The sequence below is a fragment of the Homo sapiens genome, chromosome 19 (assembly GCF_000001405.40).
Source record: "Homo sapiens chromosome 19, GRCh38.p14 Primary Assembly".
Taxonomy (NCBI): Eukaryota; Metazoa; Chordata; class Mammalia; order Primates; family Hominidae; genus Homo; species Homo sapiens.
The window spans coordinates 47,547,753-47,573,043 of NC_000019.10; the positions used below are offsets into that span (position 1 = coordinate 47,547,753).

Sequence of the window (25,291 nt, forward strand, 5' to 3'; positions counted from 1 at the left end):
TTCTTTCCCCCACAGGCAAGACAAGCTTATCATTTCCAAGACATTAAGCGGTGGCTCACACCTGTAATCCCAGCACTTTGGGGAGGCCGAGTCACGCAGATCACTTGAGAAATCCTGTCTCTACTAAAAATACAAAAATTAGCCAGGCATGATAGTGCATGCCTGTAGTCCTAGCTACTCAAGATGAGGAGGCAGGAAAATCACTTGAACCCAGGAGGCAGAGGCTTGCAGTGAGCTGAGATCACACCTCTGCACTCCAGCCTGAGTGACAGAGCAAGACTGTCCAAAAAAAAAAAAAAAGGAAATTTTGCTCCTGACACTTTTTAAGTCAAAAGTTAAAAGGAAAAGAATGAGTTTTTTAAAAAAGAAAAAAAAACAAAAAAAAAAATAGAAAAGAAAAACAAAGCTGGGGCCGGGTGCGGTGGCTCACGCTTGTAATCCCAGCACTTTGGGAGGCTGAGGCAGGTGGATCACAAGGTCAGGAGTTTGAGACCAGCCTGGCCAATATGGTGAAACCCCATCTCTACTAAAAATACAAAAATTAGCTGGGCGGGGTGGCATGCGCCTGTAGTCCCAGCTGCTCTGGAGGCTGAGGCAGGAGAATCGCTTGAACCTGGGAGGTGAAGGTTGTAGTGAGCCGAGATCGTGCCACTGCACTCCAGCCTGGGTGACAGAGCAAGACTCCATCTCAAAAAAAAAAAAAAAAAAAGAAAAAAAAAGAAAAACAAGGGTTAATTCTCCATTGCCATGTTCTAGAAGCAGGCGTCTCATCTTTCCTGTCTCGTGCTATCCCAAAACACAGAGAACACAGATCCGTTTTCCTCAGACACCTACCAGAGACTCAGGACATAGCTCTATAAAGTTAGCCCAACTCCTCCCATGACACAATTGACTCAGAAGCCAGCTGTTAGGCGTTTTTAACCCACAAGCAGCCCATCTGCAAACAGAAGCAGGGGCTTCCTCACAGGCGTGAATTTAGGGGCTGGGACAGCAGCGCCCACTCTCTTCCCTGCGCTCTGATGGTGTGAGAAGAACGGAGTGGGCTGGGCACGGTGGCTCACACCTGTAATCCCAGAACTTTGGGAGGCCAAGGCGGGAGGATCACTTGAGGTCAGGAGTTCAAGATCAGCCTGGCCAACATGGTGAAACCCTGTCTCTACTAAAAATAATACAAAAATTAGCTGGGTGTGGTGGCGGGCGCTTGTAATCCTAGCTACTCAGGAGGCTGAGGCAGGAGAATCACTTGAACCCGGGAGGCGGAGGTTGCAGTGAGCCGAGATCATGCCACTACACTCCAGCCCGGATGACAGACAAAAAAAAAAAAAAAGCATGGAGTGGCTGTGGCTGCGGCTGAGCAGAGGTAATACACGTCTGGAAAACCCAACAGAGGACGAGACAGCAGGTTGATCTGGGAGAATAGGAAGAAGACCCAGGAACATGTCCCCACCCCCAGCCCCTGAACAGACGTTTTTCTGACCAGACTCCCACATACAGGTGGTCCTGGCGCTTAAAGGCCTTGCTGCAGATTTTGCAGACGTGCTTCCTTTCCTGGCTGTGTGTCAGGTAGTGCTTGCTCAGAGAACTGGCGCTGCTGAACACCTTCCCGCACAGGCTGCAGTCCAGAAGTGGGTTTTGAGGGGAACTGTGCTGCCGCTTTCCTTTCCTGGCACTCCCCGAGGTGGCCCTTCCTCCTTCGTCAGCCTCTTTAGCCTTAAGCACACCTAGCCCCAGGTCTAAACAGAGGGAGAAAGCACAGGTTATACACAGCCAAGGCAACCAAGCGAAAAGCACGACTAAGGCACTCTACACCTCTTAGAACCATGGTGGCCTTGTAAGTGTTGCGCGAGAACTCTTGCTCCACACAAAGTAAACAAGGTTCAGGAGCAGGTGAGGGGAACAGAAGCCCTGCAGGATGGCACCCGGACTTGGTGCCACGTGTGGAGGGATGACTGCAGACTGAAGCCCTTCCAGAGCAGCATGACCACAATGGGCTGGGCTTTATGACCACACCATCACCTGGTACTCTTGGAACGGCAATTAGAAATATATTATCCAAAACCTTGGAAAAGTAGAAATCCTTGCACACACCCAGCCAATTCTGTTTTTGGGGTTTTCACATAAGGAAATAAATGTAGCTTTGTACAAAGATCTAGCTGCAAGGGAGTAAACTGTCATACTGCTTTTCCTGGTGAAATGTTATAAACAACCTAATATCTGGGTTGGGTGTGGTAGCTCACACCTGTAATCCCAGCACTTTGGGAGGCTGAAGCAGGCGGATCATTTGAGGTCAGGAGTTCAGGACGAGCCTGGCCAACATGGTGAAACCCCGTCTCTACCAAAAATACAAAAATTAGCTGGGCATGGTGGTGTGTGTCTGTAATCCCGGCTATTTGGGAGGCTGAGGCACGAGAACTGCTTGAACCCAGGAGGCGGAAGCTGCAGTAAGCTGAGATAGCACCACTGCACTCTAGCCTGGGCGACAGAGTGGGACTCTGTCAAAGAAAAAGAAAAAGAAAGAAAGAAAGACAGGAAGGAAGGAAGGAGGAAGGAAGGAAGGAAAGAGAGAGAGAAAGAGAGAGAGAGAAAGAGAAAGAAAGGAAGGAAGGAAGGAAAGAAGGAAAGAGAAAGAGAAAGATAAGGAGAGAAGCAAAGAAAGAAAGGAAAGAAAAAGAAAAAGAAAGGAAAAGAAAGAAAGAAAAGAAAGAAAGAATCAGATGGACTAGTAGGATTATTAGCTGGTTTTATTTTCCTCTTTTTGTATAGGTAAATTGTTTATATTTTATGTATCCCTTGGATAAAATGATAAAATATATAGTTATGAATCACATCACCCAAGAAATAGTTAAAGGAACTGGGAATATTCAGTTTGGAGAGGTCAGACGTCTTCAAATATCTGAAGGGCCAGTGTATACAGGAGACAGCAGACTGCTTCTGTCTTGCTCTAAGTACAGTGGTGCGATCACAGCTCATTGCAGTCTCTAAGTCCTGGGCTCAAGTGATCCTCCCACCTCAGCCTACTGAGTAGCTGGGACTACACGGGCCACCACCACTCCCAGCTGATTTTTAAATTGTTATTTGTTGTAGAGCTAGGCTTGGTGAATGAAAATTAAAGGGAAGCTGACCTCACACCACTGGAAACATAGGGTTTGGCCTTGCTCACTGCTGTGTTCTCAGATGCGAGAGTTCCCATTCTGGCACTCACAGGCACTCAATAACTGTATGTTAGATGAAGGAATAATAAAAGATTTTTCTACTTTTTAGATTGACCTGAAAGGTGGATTAGACTGTCTTTTTTTTTTTAATTTTTTTTTTTTTTGAGACTGAGTCTTACTCTGTTGCCCAGGCTAGAGGGCAGTGGCGCAATCTCGGCTCACTGCAACCTCTGCCTCCCAGGTTCAAGCCTCAGCCTCTGCAGTAGCTGGGACTACAGGTACCTGCCACCATGTCCAACTAACTTTTGTATTTTTAGTAGAGATGGGGTTTCACCATGTTGGCCAGGCTGGTCTCGAACTTCTGGCCTCAGGTGATCCACCCACCTCAGCCTCCCAAAGTGCTGGGATTACAGGTGTGAGCCACCGCGCCCAGCCTGCCTTTTTAACTTCTTATTTCTTATTATTTTCTTGATAGAGATGGGGTCTCACTATGTTGTCCAGGCTAGAGTGCAGGGGTTATTCACAGACGCAATCATAGCTCACCGCAGCCTTGAACTCCTGGGCGTGAGCAGTCCTTCTGACTCAGCCTCCCAAGCAGGTGAGACTACACGTGCACACCACCATGCCCAGCTAATTTTTATTTTTATTTCTTGAGACAGGGTCTTATTCTGTCACCCAGGCTACAGTACAGTGGTGCGATCACAGCTCATTGCAGTCTCTAAGTCCTGGTCTCAAGTGATCCTCCCACCTCAGCCTATTGAGTAGCACGGGCCACCACCACCCCAGCTGATTTTTAAATTGTTATTTGTTGTAGAGATGGGGTCTCACTATGTTGCCCAGGTTAGTCTCAATCTCCTGGACTCAAGCAATCCTCCTGACTTGGCCTCCCAAAGTGCTGGGATTACAGGCGTGAACCATACATAGCACCTGGCTTAAACTGCCTTATGAGATGGCAAGTTTGTTTGTTTGTTGAGATGGAGTCTCACTCAGTCACCCACGCTGGAGTGCAATGGCGCCATCTTGGCTCACTGCAACCTCTGCCTCCTGGGTTCAAGTGATTCTCCTGCGTCAGCCTCCTGAGTGGCTGAGATTAGAGGCGCCTGCCACCATGCCAGGCTAATTCTTATATTTTTAGTAGAGACGGGGTTTTGCCATGTTGGCCAGGCTAGTCTCAAACTTCTGGCCTCAAGCGATCCTCCCACCTCAGCCTCCCAAAGTGCTGGGATTACAAAGTGCATGAGCCACTGTGCCCAGCCAAGATGGCAAGTTTGGAAATAATAATTTATCAGGGATACTATGGAGATGGGATCCAAGAATTCAATGGGCCAGGGCATGGGAAGAGCAGGAGGTTGCTCTAAAGGATCCAATCGTGCAAATTCTCTGTGGCTCATGAGATGCAGTGTGACAGACACAGCAGAAGGGAAACTGGGCTGGGAGTCTTGAGGCCTAGACTCTCCTCCCAATCCTGCCTGTGGCCATTTGTCATGGAACTTGCTTGGCCTTTGTCTTTGTCCTCTGAGAAATTACTATAATGAGTAGTCAAATAACTCCAACAGTTTCAACAAGGAAAAACCGGGCTCCCTCAGGCAAAAGTCCTTAGCCTTACTCAGTCACTTAAAAATGCCTATTAAAATCGAGACCATCCTGGCTAACATGGTGAAACCCCGTCTCTACTAAAAATACAAAAAATTAGCTGGGGGCAGTGGCGGGCGCCTGTGGTCCCAGCTACTAGGGAGGCTGAGGCAGGAGAATGGCATGAACCCGGGAGGCGGAGCTTGCAGTGAGCCGAGATCGCACCACTGCACTCTAGCCTGGGCGATAGAGCGAGACTCCATCTCAAAAAAAAAAAAAAAAAAAAAAAAAAAAAGCCTATTAAAGCAACTATAAAACTAGAAAACAAAACGTTTTTAAAAATTGGCAAGGAGGCCGGGCACGGTGGCTTATGCCTGTAATCCCAGCACTTTGGGAGGCCGAGGAGGGTGGATCATGAGGTCAGGAGTTTGAGACCAGTCTGGCCAAGATGGTGAAACCCCGTCTCTACTAAAAATACAAAAATTAGCTGGGCGTGGTGGGGGACACCTGTAATCCCAGCTACTCGGGAGGCTGAGGCAGGAGAATCGCCTGAACCCGGGAGGTGGAGGTTGCAGTGAGCCAAGATTGCACCATTACACTCTAACCTGGTGACAGAGAAAGACTCCGTCTCAAAAAAATAAATAAATAAATAAAAATTGGCAAGGACACTGAAAAACAGGCAAACAGAGGAACTAGCCTGGGAAGTCACTTGATCTTCTTAGAAACCAGTGTTATAAGGGCTCTACAGTTTTTTAACATTTATTTATTTATTTATTTGTTGAGATGGAGTCTCACTCTGTTGCCCAGCCTGGAGTGCAGTAGCATGATCTCAGCTCACTGTAACCTCCATCTCCCAGATTCAAGCAGTTCTCCTGCCTCAGCCTCCCGAGTAGCTGGGATTACAGGCACCCACCACCATGCCAGGCTAATTCTTTTTTTTTTTTTTTTTTTGAGACGGAGTCTTGCTCTGTTGCCAGGCTGGAGTGCTGTGGTGCAATCTCGGCTCACTGCAACCTCCGACTCCCTGGTTCAAGCGATTTTCCTGCCTCAGCCTCCCAAGTAGCTGGGATTACAGGCACGTACCACCACACCCAGATAATTTTTGTATTTTTAGTAGACAGATTTCACTATGTTAGCCAGGATGGTCTTGAACTCCTGACCTCATGATCCGCCTGCCTCGGCCTCCCAAAGTGCTGGGATTACAGGCGTGAGCCACCACGCCTGGCCAAATTATTGTATTTTTAGTAGAGATGGGGTTTCGCCATGTTGGCTGGGCTGGAGTGGAACTCCTTATCTCAAGCGATCCGCCCACCTCAGCCTCCCAAAGTACTAGGATTATAGGCATGAGCCACCATGTCCGGCCAGAGCTATAAAATTGTTTAATGCTCCGTCTGGGTAAACTGACTTTGAGGAAAATATTCAAAGAACTAATCCAAAAGAAAACTCAACATGTACAAAGTTGTTCACAGAAACACTTTAACAGTCCAAACAGCAAGAATATGGTCTAACAGTCCAATGGAATAGCTATTTCAGTGACCCTCAGTATGAAGGTCTACCTTCAATATGAAAGCAAATACACCAACTCTTACAACTTAAATGGAATTATATACTTAATATTATCTCTGCAAGACTATGTATGTCTGACTTTACCCACGTTTAAAAATTTACAAGTGAGGTCAGGTGTGGTGGTTCACACCTGTAATCCCAAGCACTTTGGAAGGCCAAGGTAGGCAGATTGCTTGAGCTCAGTTCGAGACCAGACTGGGAAACATAGTGAAACCCCTTCACTACTAAAAATACAAAAGTTAGCTGGGTGTGGTGGCACACACTTGTAATCCCAGCTACTCAGGAGGCTGAGGCGGGAGAATCACTTGAACCTGGGAGGCAGAGGTTGCAATGAGCCGAGATTGTGCCACTGCACTCCAGCCTGGGCGACAGAGCGAGACTCCGTCTCAAAAAAAAAGAAAACAAAACAAACAAAAAAACCACGAATATCTCGCCAGTGCTTTAAGGTCTATGAAGTGTGTTTACAATAGTTCCTTCTTTTGTTTTACTCTGGGGGGAAGCAGAGAGGATATTATTGTCCACCTGCTTTATGGATAAAGACACTGGGGTCTAAGAAGGCCTGACAACCAAAGATCAGAAGGGACCGGACCCCAGTTCATTCTGGAAATGTGACATCAGCCTCTAAGGTGTGGTAATGGGAAGGAAAGTCTTCAGTAAATGCTAACATCTGCCCACACACCACACAAAAGATAAGGATATCCCCAGACACCTAAGTTTCTGAACATTATTCCCTAGAATGAGTGTTCTGTTTCCTTTACTAAGAATTGGGGGCCGAGTGTGGTGGCTCACGCCTGCAATCCCACCACTTTGGGAGGCGGAGGTGGGAGGATCACTTGAGGTCAGGAGTTCGAGACCAGCCTGGCCAATATGATGAAACCCCATCTCTACTAAAAATACAAAAATTAGCCGGGCATGGTGGCAGGCGCCTGTAATCCCAGCTACTGGGGAGGCTGAGGCAGGAGAATTGCTTGAACCCGGAAGCCAGAGGTTGCAGTGAGCCAAGAATGCACCACTGTACTCTGCCTAAAAAAAAAAAAAAAGAATTGGCCGGGTGCGGTGGCTCATGCCTGTAATCCCAGCACTTTGGGAGGCTGAGGCGGGCGGATCATGAGGTCAGGAGATCAAGACCATCCTGGCTAATGCAGTGAAACTCCGTTTCTACTAAAAATACAAAAAAATTAGCCGGGCGTGGTGGCGGGCGCCTGTAGTCCCAGCTACTCCGGAGGCTGAGGCAGGAGAATGGTGTGAACCCAGGAGGCGGAGCTTGCAGTGAGCTGAGATCGCGCCACTGCACTCCAGCCTGGGCAACAGAGCAAGACTCCATCTCAAAAAAAAAAAAAAAAAGAATTGGGGAATGATTCCCAAGTAGGAAAAAAGGTGACTGTTCCCTAAGTCACCTGTAGGAGGGAAAAATTTTCTTAACCAATCCATGCAGAATCAGTCCCTAGCTGGCCACAGAAACTGTCGAACATCCTGCAGGGCCCTTCTACCCAGGTGACAGCCTCACCTTGTAAGGATGCCTGAGACTCCGAATCTGCGTACTCCTCCAGCAGCTTCACAGAATCACTGTCCTTCCCGGAGTACAGGGACAAGGTGTCTAAGTTGTCCTCCAGCACCTCGCTGGACATGTCAGGCGTTGGGAGGCTGGGGTCCGGGTCCAGACCACTCAGGCCAGCATAAAGAAAGCCTCGCGTGTTGGGACCCAAATCCCGGTTGAGGGTGTCGCTGCAGTTGAGCCCTTGGCTCTCTGAAAATGAAGGGAGGTGCATTTCTGATGGGAGGGCACCCTCGTCTCCAAGGCTGTACTGGTCCATGGCTCTCCACTGCCAGGTCTTGGCCAAAAGCTACTCTCCAGATAAGCAAAACCATGTAAGGAGACAGGGAGGAGAGAGCCCTTGATGGCAACTAATTCCTGAAAATGAAGCAAGAAGAATGAAAGTTATTAGGTGGCAAAACAGCATTGTGGGCAGAGCACGGACTTGCAATGCAAGCAGACCTCGATCTGGGTCTGTTCTCTGCCTCATAACAGCCATGTGGCTTTGGGCAAGTCACTTAAGCTCCACGAGCCCCAGGTGCCTCATCTGTAAACTGGGCATAAGAGTACTTCCTTCACAAGGTTGTTGTAACAAATAAAAGTACTTCCAGCAACATGGTGGACTGAACTGACCTCTTGCTCCAGCTATAAACATATACATGTATGACAAAAGATAATTTTTTAACACATAGCCTAGGTCAAAAGACAGGAAAAATCCCAAGTGCCAGCAGCAACAAGAAAACTCAATGCTGGAGGTGTAAGCTCACGTAGGCCCCAGGGGAAAATCAGAATCAGATACAGGGCCTAGAGCCATTTGTCCAATATGGTGGCCACTAGCTCCATGTGGCTATGAAGTACTTGATTTTTTCTTTTAATTTTTTACAGATATCAAATCGAAAATGGATAATTTTTTTTAAGATATGGGGTCTCACCATGTTGCCCAGGCTGGTCTCGAACTCCTGGGCTCAAGCGATCCTCCCACCTTGGCTTCCCAAAGTGCTGGGATTACAGGTGTGAACCAGCGCACATGGCCCTGTGAAGCACTTGAAATGTGGCTGGCTTGAACTGAGACAGGCTGTGAGTGTAAAATACAACCTGGATTTGGAAAACTTTGTACCCAAAAAAGTCAATTTAATACGTTTCTATATAGATTAAATGTGGAATGATAATTTTTTTTCTTTTCCTTTTTTTTTTTTTTTGAGATGGAGTCTCATTCTGTCGCCCAGGCTGGAGTGCAGTGGCGGGATCTCGGCTCACTGCAACCTCTGCCTCCCAGGTTCAAGTGATTCTACTGCCTGAGCATCCCAAGTAGCTGGGACTACAGGTGCACGCCACCACACCTGGCTAATTTTTGTATTTTTAGTAGAGATAGGGTTTCACCATGTTTCCCAGGCTGATCTCGAACTCCTGACCTCAGATGATCCACCTGCCTTGGCCTCCCAAAGTGCTGGGATTACAGGCGTGAGCCACTGAGTCCAGCCTGGAATGGTAATATTTTCCATATAATGGGCTAAATGCAACATGTTATTAAAATTAACTTCATCTGCTTATCTTTTTAATGTGGCTCCTAGGAAATTTAGATTATATATGGCTCGTATTCTGTATTATCAAATGCTGCCCTGCCGTCTGGGACCTGGGATGATAGCAGACACGTGGGTGAGGGAAACAGGGCCTTGAGTTCCCAGGAAACGGAGGCCTGGGGCCCTGGAAGAGCTGAACCATCCACAGGAAAACTAAATAAATGAAAAGAAAAGCTTCACACAAGCCTAGAAAAGTACCCCCAAGAACCAGAAAAAAATAGCCAGTGAGAGATGACAAAGCTGAGCATTCTACAAGTCTACAAAAGAATGACAATTACCCTGATGGCAAACTTCTCAACAGAAACAAGCCTCGAAGATAAGAATAAGAATATCATCAGTGGACTAAGGAAAAGTCAGCCAGCACAGAGCTCAACATACAGGCATGAGAGAGGGAGGGAGGAGGCTGGGCGCCAGGGCTCACATCTGTAACCCCAACACTTTGGGAGGCAGAGGAGGGAGGATTGCTTGAGGCCAAGAGTTTGAGACCAGCCTGGGCAAGACAGCAAGACTGGCTTCTACAAAAAATTAAAATATCAGCCAGGTGTGGTGGCGTCTATCTGTAGTCCCAGCTATTCAGAAGGCTGAGGCAGGAGGATCACTTCAGCCTGGGAGCTTATAGACTTTTACACACAAGGCCTAAGAATCTACCTTACAGACCCTGGTCCAAAAAATGACTAAAAGTTTTGAATCAATTGGGAAAAAAAAAAAAGAGATGATGGTAACTTCATACTTTTAAGCTTGCACACTAAAAGAATCTAAGTATAACCACCAAGAGAAGAAAAATAAACCACATAACATCTAAACTAGTAGAATTTATTCCCCCCAAAATGGGCAGGGGGAGTGGGGCAGCAGAGTTTACTTTAAAATACTGTAGGGAAAAGAGAGAAAAGACTCATAGTACTGCAACTAGGAATTAAAGAGGAAACACATCACTAATGGCCTTAGAAAAAATAAGAAGGATTATAAAAGAATACTACAGGCCAGGCGTGGTGGCTTACGCCTGTAATCCCAGCACTTTGGGAGACCGAGGTGGGCGGATCATGAGGTCAGGAGATCGAGACCATCCCGGCTAACACGGTGAAACCCCATCTCTATTAAAAATACAAAAAATTAGCCGGGCATGGTGGTGGGCGCCTGTAGTCCCAGCTACTCGGGAGGCTGAGGCAGGAGAATGGTATGAACCCAGGAGGCGGAGCTTGCAGTGAGCCGAGATCGTGCCACTGCACTCCAGCCTGGGCAACAGAGCGAGACTCCATCTCAAAAAATAAATAAATAAATAAATAGAAATAAAATAATACTATAAACAACTGTATTCAGATAATTAAAAAATTAGATAACTTAGATACATTAACTTAGTTATTTAAATTAGATAACAGATTAAAATGGGCAAACTGCTAGAAAGATACAAATTACCAAAACTTACTCAAGAAGAAACAGAATTTCTTTTTTTTTTTTGAGATGGAGTTTCGCTCTGTCGCCCAGGCTGGAGTACAGTGGCGCAATCTCAGCTCACTGCATCCTCCGCCTCCCGGGTTTAAGCAATTCTCTGTCTCAGCCGGATTACAGGTGCCCACCACCACGCCCAGCTAATTTTTTTTTTTTTTTCCTGAGACAGTTTCACTCTGTTGCCCAGGCTAGAGTGCAGTGGCGCCATCTCCGCTCACTGCAAGCTCCACCTCCCAGGTTCACGCCATTCTCCTGCCTCAGCCTCCCGAGTAGCTGGGACTACAGGTGCCCGCCCCCGCGCCCGGCTAACTTTTTGTATTTTTAGTACAGACGGGGTTTCACCATCTTGGCGAGGCTGGTCTTGAACTTCTGACCTCGTGATCCACCCGCCTCGGCCTCCCAAAGTGCTGGGATTACAGGCGTGACCCACCGCGCCCAGCCAAGAAACAGAATTTCTGAATAGACCTATGAGAAATAAAAAGACTGGGCCAGGCACAGTGGCTCACGCCTGTAATCCCAGCACTCTGGGAGGCCGAGGTGGGCAAATCACTGGAGGTCAGGAGTTTGGGACCAGCCTGACAAACATGGTGAAACCCCATCTCTACTAAAAATACAAAAACTTAGCTGGGCATGATGGTAGGCACCTGTAATCTCAGCTACTCAGGAGGCTGAGGCACAAGAATCACTTGAACCCGGGAAGCAGAGGTTGCAGTGAGCTGAGATCGTGCCACTGCACTCCAGCCTGGGCAACAGAGTGAAACTCTATCTCAAAAAAAAGAAAGAAAGAAAAGAAAGAAAGAAGGAAGGAAGGAAGGAAAGAAAGACAGACTCAACTAGTAATTTTAAAGCTCCCTGTACATCTTGCCATAGAAACACCAAAAACAAAAAATCAACTTTAACAAAACTCTGGGAAGCAGTCAAAGCTTTATAGCAACCAAGCAAACCCTAAGAAAAAGGTGACTTTGATGTTTGATTACAGGCTCACGCCTGTAATCGCAGCACTTTAGGAGGCCGAGATGGGCAGATCACCTGAGGCCAGGAGTTTGAGACCAGCCTGGCCAGCATAGTAAAACCCCATCTCTACTGAAAATATAAAAGTTAGCTGGGTGTGGTAGTGCACGCCTGTAGTCCCAGCTACTTGCGAGGCTGAGGCAGGAGGATCGCTCGAACCCAGGAAGCGGAGGTTGTAGTGAGCCGAGATTGTGCCTCTGCACTCCAGCCTGGGTGACAGAGCAAGACTCTGTCTCAAAAAAAAAAAAAAAAAAATGGTGACTGAAACCCAGTGGGAGAACTTTGTGGCATATTTAACTTACCCCTGCCCCATCCCTACTCCCTGGCTCAGCAGTGGTCTCGAAGGTAGCAGCCCATGTTTCTGGTGTGGGTTCCCTGGTGCTGGAGGGAACAGAGAGGATCTGGTTTTCAAAGAACAGTGGTTGTCTGTCTGACCTGTCAGTGGCTCCCTGAAAGCCCAATGCAAAGATCTTGCCTTTTTTTGTACCTAACTGGCAGCTCTCTGGGGTGCAGAGTGGCTACAGACAGGGCGTTTGTTGCAAACATTAAAGTCAAATGAACTAGATGCTGCAGGCTGGCGCAAAAGATATTGATTGGGGCAAACAACTGACTTGCTAAAAGCCAGGGAGGAAAAGCTGGGAAGTTGGATACTTTGGAGAAATAAAGGCTTTGAAAAAATGAGCCAGGCATGGTGGCTCATGCTTGTTATGCCAGCATTTTGGGAGGCCGAGGCAGGTGAATCACCTGACATCAGGAGTTTGAGACCAGCCTGGCCAACACGGTGAAACTCCGTTTCCACTAAAAACACAAAAATTAGCTGGGCATGGTGGCAGGTGCCTGTAATCCCAGCTGCTTGGGAGGCTGAGGCAGGAGAATCACTTGAATGTGGGAGGTGGAGGTTGCAATGAGCCAAGATTGCGCCACTGCACTCCAGCCTAGGAGACAAGGGCAAAACTCTGTCCCAAAAAAAAAAAAAAAAAAAAGTCCACACTGGCAGTTTCTTATAAAGCTACACATAGTTTTTTTCTGCATCTATTTGATGATTGTAATATATATATGTATAAAATCTTATCATGCAATCCAGCAACTACACTCTTAGGCATCCATCCAACTGAGCTGAAAACTTCAGTCCACACAAAAGCCTGCACACACATGTTTATAGCAGCTTTGTTCATAACTGCCCAAAACTGGAAGCAATCAAGACATCCCTCAATAGGTGAATGGATCAACAAACTGTGGAACATCCAGACAATGGAATGTTCTTCAGGAATAAAAAGCAATAAGCTATCAAACCACACAATGACATGGAGGAACCTTAAATGCACATTGCTAAGTGAAGGAAGCCAGTATGAAAAGATTACATACCGAAAAAAAAGAAAGACAAGACTACATACTGTGAGACTCCAACTATATCACATTCTGGAAAAGGCAAAACTATAGAGACAATAAAAAGACCAGCAGTTGTGTGGTTTGTGGGGTGAGGAGTGAAACTATTTTGCATGATAATCTAATGCTGCATACCTGACATTATACCATAGTCAAAACCCACAGAACTATACAACACAGAGACTGAGCTCTGGCTGGGTGTGGTGGCTCACACCTGTAATCCCAGCACTTTGGCCCAGGAGTTTGACAAAGTCAGACCCTGTCTCTATGAAAAAAAATTTTTTTTTAATTAGCTGGGCATGGTGGCACATGCTTGTGGTTTCAGCTACTTGGGAGGCTGAGGAGGGTGAATCGCTTGAGCCCAAGAATTGGAGGCTTCATTGAGCTATGATTGCGCCACTGCACTCCAGCCTGGGCAACAAAGTGATACCCTGTCTCAAAATAATTAATTAATTAAGTATTAAAAAAATTAAAAAATCCAAATGAATAAAAAAAGAGCTTCCACATATTCCTGGGAATTTAGAAGGTGGCATCTCAGGGTGGGCACATGTTTGGAAAGGACCAGAGAAGGCTTCCAAGCTCTCACCTCTGGCTGACCTTCGCTCTGTGCAGGCAGAGAGTGAAGGCGAAGGTAGGGTTGTTAACCGCCTGCCTGAGTGTGGAAGCAGTGCCCCGCTGCAACTACTGGGAGCTTTTTGTTTTTTGTTTTCTGTTTTGTTTTTTTTTTAGCTCCAGGAGTTTAAGAAGATCTCTGTTAAGTCACTAGCTGACCACTAAACTAACAGAACAGACTACTGACCACACCCCACAAAGAACACAATCTTTACAAAAATAGCTTAGAAAAGCCACTAAACAAACAGTTACAACCCACAATAAGCAGAAACAACCAAGCCTGAGGACAGGGAAGAAAGGAAGAATCCCATTCCCAGAGTTACCAGACTGCAATATGCAAAATATCCAGTTTACAGGCTGGGTGCAGTGGCTCACGCCTGTAATCCCAGCATTTTGGGAGGCCGAGGCGGGTGGATCACCTGAGGTCAGGAGTTCAAGACTGGCCTGGCCAACATGGCGAACCCCCGTCCCTACTAAAAATATAAAAATTAGCTGGCTGTGGTGGCAGGCACCTGCAATCCCAGCTACACGGGAGGCTGAGGCAGGAGAATCGCTTGAACTCGGGAGGTGGAGGCTGCAGTGAGCCAAGATCGTGCCACTGCACTCCAGCCTGGGCGACAGAGACTGTCTCCCCAAAAAAAACAAAAACAGGCCAGGCGCGCTGGCTCATGCCTGTAACCCCTGCACTTTGGGAGGTCCGGGAGGGCGGATCACTTGAGGTCAGGAGTTCAAGACCAGCCTGGCCAACATGGTGAAACGCCATCTCTACTAAAAATACAAAAATTAGCTGGGCGTGGTGGTGTGTGCCTGTAATGCCAGCTACTCAGGAAGCTGAGGCAGGAGAATCGCTTGAACCCGGGAGATGGAGTCTGCAGTGAGTTGAGATTGTGCCACTGCACTCCAGCCTGGGTGACAGACTGAGACTCCATTTCAAAAAAAACTAAAAACAAAAAACAAAACAAAAAAAACCAAACAGATAAAATGTCCAGTTTTCGAATCATGGAAGCTTGAGAAAAATGAGAGATCGAGTTTTTCAGCAAAAAATTATGAGTCATGAAAACAAAAAAGCATAGCCCCTTCAGATGGCCATCTGTCTCACACAAATGGAATCAGATGACCTGTGGCCTTCTGTGTCTGGCTTCTTTCACTAAGCACAGTGTTTTCAAGGTTCACCCCCATTGCAGCACGTGTCACTGCTCCATTTCTTTCCAGGGCTAAATAATGTTCCCCTGTCTGGAGAGACCACATTTTGTTTAACCACTCTCCTGTTGATGAACATTTGGGTTACTTCCATTTGGGGGCTATTGTGAATAATTCTGCTCACACCTAGATGTTAAAGAAATGCTTCATGACTCACTGAATAACAAATCTAGTGCATACTTGAATAACGGGAGTTTGGGACTAGATTTCTAGGCCACCAGTTTCTACTTTCTAAGAACTTTTCATGTTGATATGTAATAGAACCTCTGCACCTGCAATGTCTGCATTGCATGTTATATGTCTACCTGCCTGTCTGCGTGTATGCAGCCTATTGAGGCAGCACAAATTTAAAGTCACATACAGGTACGTAATCCCATATACAACTCTGAGACCCAACTGAGTTTCAGAATTTGAGGGGGTTTTAGAAGTGTAAATCAATGCATACCCCGTATTTTAAGTAACTTCCAGTGGGGTTCAAGGCAGTACCTGGTAACCAAATAATTATTTCTGCATCATTGCCTATGACCACTCAGCGTACGTGAAATAAAGGCTGTGAAAAGCAACATGTAGGGTCAGGTTTGGCCACCAGATGATATTCGAGATGCCTCAGGATTCTCAGAGCTTTTTGGGTTTCCAAAAAATCAGGGAGAGGAGTGTGGATCTGTAAGCCAAATTCAAATTTCACCAGTTCCACAGTGTCTGCTACAGTGCTGCTATAAACTGTTTTCACCACTCTATGAGGGGAAAAACCCATCTCCCCCTGCATCTCCCAATAATAAAAACAAGTGAATAAAAATCACATATATATTTTTTGAGACGAAGTCTTGCTGTGTCCCCTAGGCTAGAGTGCAGTGGTGCAATCTCGGCTCACTGCAACCTCTGCCTCCTGGGTTCAAGCAATTCTCTTGTCTCAGCCTCCCAGTACCTGGGATTACAGGCACTCACCACCACGCCTGGCAAATTTTTGTACTTTTAGTAGAGATAGGGTTTCACCACGCTGGTCAGGCTGGTCTCAAACTCCTGACCTCAGGTGATCCACCCGCCTCGGCCTCCCAAAGTGCTGGGATTACAGGCATAAGCCCCCGCGCCTGGCCTAAAAATCGTATTTATTAAGCACTTTCTCCACATCGGGTATCATACCAAGTGCTTTATATGCATTAACTTACTTCTCACAAAAACCTAGATTGTAGTATTACTTCCCTTTTACAAATAAGAGAGACTAATTTGTCCAAAGTCAAAACCCAACAGCCAGATCTTAAACCCAGATACTCTGACATTAGCGCTAATGGTCTTGCCCATTACACAGTACTGATTCCCTATAAACTGAACTGTATACTGCACTGCTCCAATTAAACTACAAAACACATAAGGTGCTGGGTCAGGGGGAAGAATGTCTCTGGACTCCCCAAGGCCAAATCACCTGCTTTCCAATATACTCCCATAGTCCACAGAACAAACTGGTCAGGTTACAACCTCAGACAGGCAAGCCAAAAGTCCAAAGGCCATGCCTTGATATTTACATCCTTCTCCAGACAGTAAAGCAAAACCCTCTCTACCGATACTGAGCTTCCTTTTATTCTGTCAACAAATACATTCAATTCAACAAGAGTTTTAGCACCTTCTAGGTACAAAACTCTCTGCTAGCCCTTACGAGGCAGAGTTTATGGTCTCCTGCAACCCGGCAGACATTCCCAAGGACCCAAATACTCTTTCCAAGAATTTTATCATTTTGTGTTTTCATTTAAATGCTCAACATCACTAACGATCAGGGAAATGCAAATCAGAACCACAATGGGATACCACCTTACTCCTGCAAGAATGGCCGTAATCAAAAAATAAAAAAATAACAGATGTTGGCATGGATGCGGTGAACAAGAAACCTTTCTACACTGCTGGTGGGAATGTAAACTAGTACAGCCACTATAGAAAACAGTGTGGACATTCCTTAAAGAACAAAAAGTGGAACTACCATTTGATCCAGCAATCTCACTCCTGGGTATCTACCCAGAGGAAAAGAAGTCATTATAAGAAAAAGATACTTGCACATGCATGTTTAGAGCAGCATAATTTGCAATTCCAAAAATACGGAACCAGCCCAAATGCCCACCATCAATCAAGGAGTGGATAAAGAAATATATATATGATGGAATACTACTCAGCCATAAAAAGGAACGAAATAATGGCATTCACAGCAACCTGGATTGAACTGGAGACTATTATTCTTCTAAGTGAAGTAACTCAGGAATGGAAAATCAAACATCGTATGTTCTCACTTTGTAAGTGAGAGCTAAGCTATGAGGATTAAAGGCATAAGAATGATACAATGGACTTTGGGGACTTGGGGGGAAAGGGTGGGAGGGGATGAGGGATAAAAGACTACAAATTGGGTTCAATGTATACTGCTTGGGTGATGGGTACACTAAAATCTTACAAATCACCACTAAAGAACTTACTCATATAACCGAGTACCACCTGTTCCCCCAAAATCTATGGAAATAAAAAACTAAAAAAAGAAAAAAGAAAAGAAAAACCCAGTACATCTGGATCATTAGAGGACTCCCTTGTAACCGAGTACTACCATGTGGTTTCAATGCCTGGGTGTGTTTATGATTGCACTCATGCCAAAAAGGACTACTTAATTGCTTCAGGCTAAAAAGAAGAGGATGGAGGGGGATTTAGTTCATAATAATGCCTTCGGGCTCTACTAGAGGCCAGCTGGCATCACGGTACAAATGGAAGTTTTGCTGCAGTTCAAATTGAGACAAGGGATGGGAGAATTGAGACCTCACAGGGCCTGCTAAACCCAAAAGGGCCCAGAGTGGCAGTCGGCAAAGTAATTGTTTCAAGGAGCAGGTAAGTTTCAGGAAATGGTATCCCTCTCATTAAATTAAATCGGTTTGGTTGCTTTGTTTATATTTAATTTGCAAATTGATTTTGGCTTTATAGCTGCACAGGAGCTATACACTTTAGGAACTTATGTCTTGTTCTATCATCACTGATGCCTTAATAGTTTTAAAACAATTTAAGTCAACATTGGGGATCCGAAGCAATTTTAATTTTTTTTCTTTTAAAAAAATGCTATCAGCCCAGCGCAGTGGCTCACGTCTGTAATCCCAGCATTTTGGGAAGCTGAGGTGTGCGGATCACTTGAGGTCAGGAGTTCGAGACCAGACTGGCCAACATGGCGAAACCCCGTCTCTACTAAAAATACAAAAATTAGCCGCGCATGGTGGTGGGTGCCTGTAACCCCAGCTACTCAGGAGGCTGAGGCCCAAGAATCTCTTGGACCCGGGAGGCGGAGGTTGCAGTGAGCCAAGATTGTGCCACTGCACTCCAGCCTGGGTGACAGAGTGAGACTCCATCTCAAAAAAAAATAAAATAAAATTTAAAGGGGCCATCATTCCATGACTGGTGGGGGTGAGGGGAAACAAAGGATTCTTCTATGAAATGCTACGACCTTTTGGGAAGGTAACCTACCATGAGATTCTAGACTGTAGAAGTAAGTCCACAATAGATAAATAATATTTACTATGTGTGTTGTTTGGAGGGGAGGGAACAATCTGAATGCCCATCTGATTTACAAATATATTTTATTTAGTCTGCAATATATTTAAATATGTTTCCATTAGTTATCCAGTTAAAGAATAGATGGGGCCAGGTATGGTGGCTCACACCTATAATCCCACCACTTTGGACAGCTGAGGCAGGCAGATCACCTGAGGTCAGGAGTTCAAGACCAGCCTGACCAATATAGTGAAACCCCATCTCTACCAAAACTACAAAAATTAGCTCGGCATAGTGGCACTCACCTGTAGTACCAGCTACTCAGGAGGCTGAGGCAGGAGAATTGCTTGAACTTGGGAGGCGGAGGTTGCAGTGAGCCAAGATCATGCCACTGCACTCCATCCTGGTGACAAAGCCAGACTCCATCTCAAAAATAAATAAATAAATAAAATAAGGCCAGGTGCGGTGGCTCACACCTGTAATCCCAGCACTTTGGGAGGCTGAGGCGGGCGGATCACAAGGTCAGGAGATTGAGACCATCCTGGCTAACATGGTGAAACCCCGTCTTTACTAAAAATACAAAAAATTAGCCAGGCGTGGTGGCGGGTGCCTGTAGTCCCAGCTACTCGGGAGGCTGAGGCAGGAGAATGGCATGAACCCGGGAGGCGGAGCTTGCAGTGAGCCAAGATCAGGCCGCTGCACTCCAGCCTGGGCCACAGAGCGAGACTCCATCTCAAAAATAAATAAATAAATAAATAAAATAAAATAAATAATAGAAAAATAGATGGATAGAGCACTAGAGCATCACTATCCAAAAGCACTTTCTGTGCTACTAAGCCTGCACTGCCCAATACTGCAGTCTTTAGCCACATACACAGAAATGCAGCTAACACCCTTGAGGAACTAAACTCTTTATTTTATTTAAGTTTAGTTAAATTTATTTATTTATTTATTTATTTAGAGACAGAGTCTCACTGTGTCACCCAGGCTGGAGTGTAGTGGTGCAATCTCAGTTCACTGCAACCTCCACCTCCTGGGCTCAAGTGATTCTCCTGCCTCAGCCTCCTGAGTAGCTGGGGATTACAGGCGCCCGCCATCATGCCCAGCTAATTTTTGTATTTTTAGTAGAGATGGGGTTTCACCATGTTGGCTAAGCTGGGTCTCGAACTCCTTACCTCAAATGATCCGCCCTCCTCGGCTTCCCAAAGCGCTGGGATTACAGGCGTGCGCCACCGCGCCTGGCCAGTTAAATTTAAACAGGTACAAGCGGCTAATGGCTACCATATCAGATGGTGCAAATCTAGGGATTTCTCATTCAAGTTAGGCTTTCCAACTTCTATTTAAAAATGTGAAAGAAAAAATCAGAAGATCTGCCAATGCTGAGTCCACATTCCTGCAAGGCAACAATTGGTTGGAGGTGAGAAGCCCCCACCACTCCCTATTCTCTCAGCTCACTGATTTCTGTGCCCTGCCAGGCCTCTGGAGGCATCTGAGTTTATGACCCTCCAAATGAAACCCTCCAAACTCAGGCTTAAATGTCACCTCCACTATAGAGAACACTTCCAACATAACAAAGTCTGAGATTAATTTCTCCCTCCTCTGAACCCTGACAAGCACTTGTGTAACAATCCACTTAACATTTACTCTAAATTATCTAGGAAGTTAATTATCTTTAAAGTTCTCCCATTTTCTCCAGACTCTCAGCTCTAGGATGGCTGGGACTCGGCCTTAGGTGTCTAAACTTCTCACAGTATCTTGCCTAGCACAGAACTTTGATCACAGAAGGCTCTGAGCATCCTTTTCATTCATGAGTGACAGAATTCCATTGTGCCACCTCTTTTCCTCTTTGAAAAGCTCCAACCACTGTTCTGCCACCACACCCCCCACCTCCTAAGCACCACCTTCTCCCTTCTCTCCCTGCATCCATGTTACCAGGGAAAGGGTCATCAAGTCTGAGTAACAGCAGGTTCCTGGGAGTTGAGCAGACAGACTTGCAGCTTTCACCCTAGCTATGCAATTTCCTTCATTTTATTTTATTTTATTTTTTGAGACAGGGTCTTACTCTGTCGCCCAGACTGGAGTGCAGTGGCGTGATCTCGGCTCACTGAACCTCCACCTCGCGGATTCAAGCGATTCTCCCATCTCAGCCACCCGAGTAGCTGGGTTTACAAGCATGTGCCACCACACCTGGCTAATTTTTGTATTTTTAATAGAGACAGGGTTTTGCCATGTTGGCCAGGCTGGCCTCGACCTCCTGCCGTCAAGCAATCCACCTGCCTCAGCCTCCCAAAGTGCTGGTATTACAGGTGCAAGCCACTGCACCCGGCCTGCAATTTCCTTCCTTACTTTCCTACTCCAATTTTTTTTGTTTTCCTGAGTTGAAGTCTCTCTCTGTCACTCAGGCTGGAGTGCAATGGCGTGGCCTTGGCTCATTGCAACCTCCGCCTCCTGGGTTCAAGTGATTTTCCTCCTCAACCTTCCGAGTAGCTGGGACTACAGGTGCACACCACCACACTGGGCTAATTTTTGTATTTTTAGTAGAGACGAGGTTTCACTATGTTGGCCAGGCTGGTCTCAAACTCCTGACCTCGTGATCCACCCACCTCGGCCTCTCAAAATGCTAGGATTACAGGCGTGAGCCACTGTGCCCAGCCTCCACTCCAAATATTATTGTAAACTATAGACCCATTTTGTTTGGCCTACACAGTATTTTTACAAATTGGATTAGTCATCAACATTTTTTTTTAATGGGGAGATTTCACCTTCCTATATGGATTTCTGGTTTCTTTTGAAAATGATTAGATTTGATATTCCTTCACAGTTAACAACGAGGTAGATCTGAGGGACAAATGGCATCTCTAGAAAGGGCTTATGGTCTCCAGTTTTCCCAGCCCTCACTTATCTTCCTGCCTGGCCCTTATAATATTCATCATTGTAATAATAATAATAATAATAACAGTGAACATTTATTGAGGCTTTATGACATGCCAGGTACTCTTGTAATCACTTGTATGTCATCGTATTTAATTCCCACAATACTTGAGGCATATACTGTATTATTAACCCTATTTCACCAATGAGGTAAATAGTCCAGAGAAGTTGAGTAACTTGCCCAAAACCAAGCTAGGATTCAACCCTGGGTAGTCTAATTTCGAAACCCTTACGCTTGCCCGCTCCACTATGCTTTTATCACACACTTGAGACTGGGACTCCTGCTTCACACTCGTGCCTACATTCTTAAGTAGAACAATCAAGAAAGACTTCCAGCTGGGCAAGGTCATTCTCGCCTGTAATCCCAGCACTTTCTGAGGCCTAGGTAGGAAGATTGCTTGAGTCCAGGAGTTCAAGACCAGCCCGGGCAACAAAGTGAGATCCCCGCCGCCCCCCACCCATCTCTACAAAAAAAATCAAAAATTAGCCAGGTGTGGTGGTGCACACCTGTGGTCCCAGCTACTCGGGAGACTGAAGCAGAAGGATTGCTTGATGTTGGGAGGTCGAGGCTCCAGTGAGCCAGGATCACACCACGGCACTCCAGCCTGGGCAAACAGCGAAACCCTGTCTCAAGAAAAGAAAGGAGAAAAGAAAAGAGCAAAACAAAGCACAAAGACTCCCTCCTATAGTCTTATAGTTATGTAACCAATAACTAATTTTAACCAGAAGGTAAAGTCATTTTCTCTGGCCGGGCACGGTGGCTCACGACTCTAATTCCAGCACTTTGGGAGGCTGAGGCGGGCAGATCACAAGGTCAGGAGATCGAGACCATCCTGGCTAACACGGTGAAATCCTGTCTGTACTAAAAATACAAAAAATTAGCCAGGAGTGGTAGCGGGTGCCTGTTGTCCCAGCTACTCGGGAGGCTGAGGCAGGAGAATGGTGTGAACCCAGGAGGTAGAGCTTGCAGCAAGCCGAGATCACTCCACTGCACTCCAGCCTGGGCGACAGAGCGAGACTCCATCTCCAAAAAAAAAAAAGTCCATTTTGGCTGGGCGTGGTGGTTCATGCCTGTAATCCCAGCACTTTGGGAGGCTGACGCAGGCAGATCACTGGAGGCCAGGAGTTTGAGACCGCCTTGCCAACATGGTGAAAACCCGTCTCTACTAAAAATACAAAAATTAGCCGGGCATGGTGGTGGGCACCTGTAATCCCAGGTACTCAGGAGGCTGAGGCATGAGAATCACTTGAACCTGGGAGGTAGAGTTTGCAGTGAGCTGAGATAGTGCCAATGCACTCCAGTCTGGGCGACAGAGCAAGACTCTGTCCTAAAAAAAAAAAAAAAAAAAAAAAAGCGCATTTTGTTTTTTTGTTTATATATAATGGGTTTATTACTGCCCTTTTAAAATCAATTAATAAACATTTTGAAAGTTGATTAGTTTAAACTTCTAATACAGCAAATGCCAGTAGATAAAGTTTACATAAACAAAAATTCTCTACAGCCTTCAATAATTTTTAAGTGCAAAGGGGTCTTAAGAGCAAAAGTTTTAAATTAGCTGGGCGTGGTGGTGCACGCCTGCAGTCCCAGCTACTTGGGAGGCTGAGGCAGGAGAATTGCTTGAACCCAGGAGGCAGAGGTTGCAGTGAGCCGAGATCGCACCACTGCACTCCAGCCTGGGAAACAGAGAGAGACTCCATCTCAAAAAGAAAAAAAAAAAAAAAGTTTGAGAACTACTATTCCAATAAGAAAAAGTCCTGCATGTCCACATACACATGTGCCCAAGCAGACACGCATCTAAAAGAAAGAAACCCGAAACTGAAAATTCCAAAGTGGTGGCCGGCAGGCATATTTTATAAGTTCCCTATGCTGTCTTTTTTTTTTTTGAGACGGAGTCTCGCTCTGTTGCCCAGGTTGGAGTGCAGTGGTGCAATCTCGGCTCACCACAACCTCCGCCTCCCAGGTTCAAGCGATTCTCATGCTTCAGCCTTCCCAGTAGCTGGGACTACAGGCGCCTGCCACCACATCCAACTAATTTTTTGTATTTTTAGTAGAGACAGGGTTTTACTATATTGGCCAGGCTGGTCTCAAACTCCTCAGCCGCCTCGGCCTCCCAAAGTGCTGGGATTACAGGCATGAGCCACTGCGCCCAGCCTACGCTGTCTTATTTAATTCTTAAATTATCAAATGTGTTGCTAGCATTTAAAAATCAGAAGGTTTCACCTAAGGATAGTTTTCTGGCCTCTTCTCAAAGAAATCGAAAGTTCTGGCAACACTGGCCTGGCATTTCCACTGCCTGGCATCACTTAGATGGGACATACAATCTTTGCTTCACGACAATCCTTACTTCTTCCCTTTACCTGTGCCTTACCTGTAAGTATCTGAGTTGCCACCCTGAGCTAGGGAAGGAAAAACGTTTTTTGCAATAAACATCAATAAAGAAACACACATCAATCTATGTCTGCACTCCTCCTAACAGGTCAACATGCACAATAAATAGCCCTTTTCCCTGTTTGACTTCTCCAAAGCAGTAACTTGTATGATTACCATTAGTACGGACTTTGGTATTGCTTAGAAACCCTCTTGAGAAAGAACGAGATCTATCCAACAAAGCAGGTGTCTTTGGCTCAGTGCAAAGGAAGGAAACTCACCAGAAGAGCAAGTTAGTGAATCTCCAGGGAACAGGAGGACCCAGTTTAGGCCCCACAGGGAGGGGGTTCAGGTGACAAGCAGACCACTGGATATGTCCTCCTGGAACACTGAGTGGTAAATGCAGGATACTCCCAATTTCTTTTGCCCTGAAAGCAGGTGGTGGGAAGGAAGAAGCAGTCAGGACTTGGGTCCCAAAGAAACAAGAACAGAGATGTGAAAATGGAGAAGAGCAACAATTTTTGGAAGAAGGCAGAAAGCAGTATCAACAGCGGAGATTTGAGTGAGGAGGAAAGGTTTTTTTGGTAAGAAGAAATAATTGTTCCTTCTTTCCTTATTTTTCCCCCGTGGGAAGAGACCTAGAGAATTTTACCGGGAGAAACTTAATTAGGGCAGAATTGGTGATAAAATAAGGATATTTGCTGGAAAGTTGGGGGTAGGTGAGGAGGACTGGAAACATAAATATTAGACGAGAGAGAAACTGGAAGGAATTAGTTGGTTTGTTCTAAGCGAAGATATTCCAAAAAGGGGCACTCTAGGTGTGAAGAAAAAAATTTTGCTGGAAAGTGATCCTGAACGGATGAAAAAAAACTGGGTTAATTTTTTTTCTTTTTTTGCGCTAAGGGAAGTTACTTAAAGGAGGGGGAGGGGCATGTCAAGGAAAGGAGGAGAGATTTGGAGTTTTGCTGGAAGATCCTAAAAAGGGATAAATCTGGGTGCCCCAAAGTGGGACTATGGAGGAGGAAGGGGGATTCTGAGCAGAAGGGGCCTGGAAGAGGCTAGCGAATGCAAGGCCCAGATGCAGAAGGTGGGGAGGTCGGGTAGGGCCCGCGGCGCGAGCTGGGGGGCTGCGAGGGGGCAGTTGAGGCCCGGGGGGACGGAGTGGGAAAGAAAAGGGGGTGCAGCGGGCCAGGGGATCCTGAGGAGGGTCTTCTCCAAGGGGGAAGGGCCTGTGGGGTGCAGCGGGGCCCGGAGCTGTTGGGTTGCAGAAGATGCGTGCGTGACGCAGGGTGAGGGGCGCCCGCCGCGCCTGCTGCGCCCCTCGAAAGGCAGATGGGGCCCCCTAAAAAAAGAAATCAAGAAACGAATGAGATTGTAAAAAGGGGGAGGGGTTGAAAAAAGAGGAAATAATAGTAATGGGGGATAAGGA

The 25,291-nt window shown here is 46.2% G+C and overlaps 1 protein-coding gene across 16 annotated transcripts in view; it reads right to left on the reverse strand.

The window, feature by feature from the left end:
- Positions 1-25,291, reverse strand: part of ZNF541 (zinc finger protein 541) — a 52,620-nt gene that overhangs the window by 27,063 nt on the left and 266 nt on the right. For 2 of the 16 annotated variants that reach the window (XM_047439506.1, NM_001277075.3), the window contains exons 2-4: positions 24,144-24,290; positions 7,798-8,202; positions 1,493-1,733 (exon numbers count right to left, since the gene is read on the reverse strand). In XM_047439506.1, coding sequence (XP_047295462.1) covers positions 1,493-1,733; positions 7,798-8,104 — 548 coding nt within the window. In that variant the 5' untranslated portion in view covers positions 8,105-8,202; positions 24,144-24,290. Of the gene's footprint in view, positions 1-1,477; positions 1,734-7,797; positions 8,203-18,868; positions 18,990-22,001; positions 22,031-24,143; positions 25,281-25,291 lie in introns of those variants that run through there. The other 14 variants (XM_011527369.3, XM_011527368.3, XM_047439508.1 and 11 more) reach the window with 12 other exon arrangements.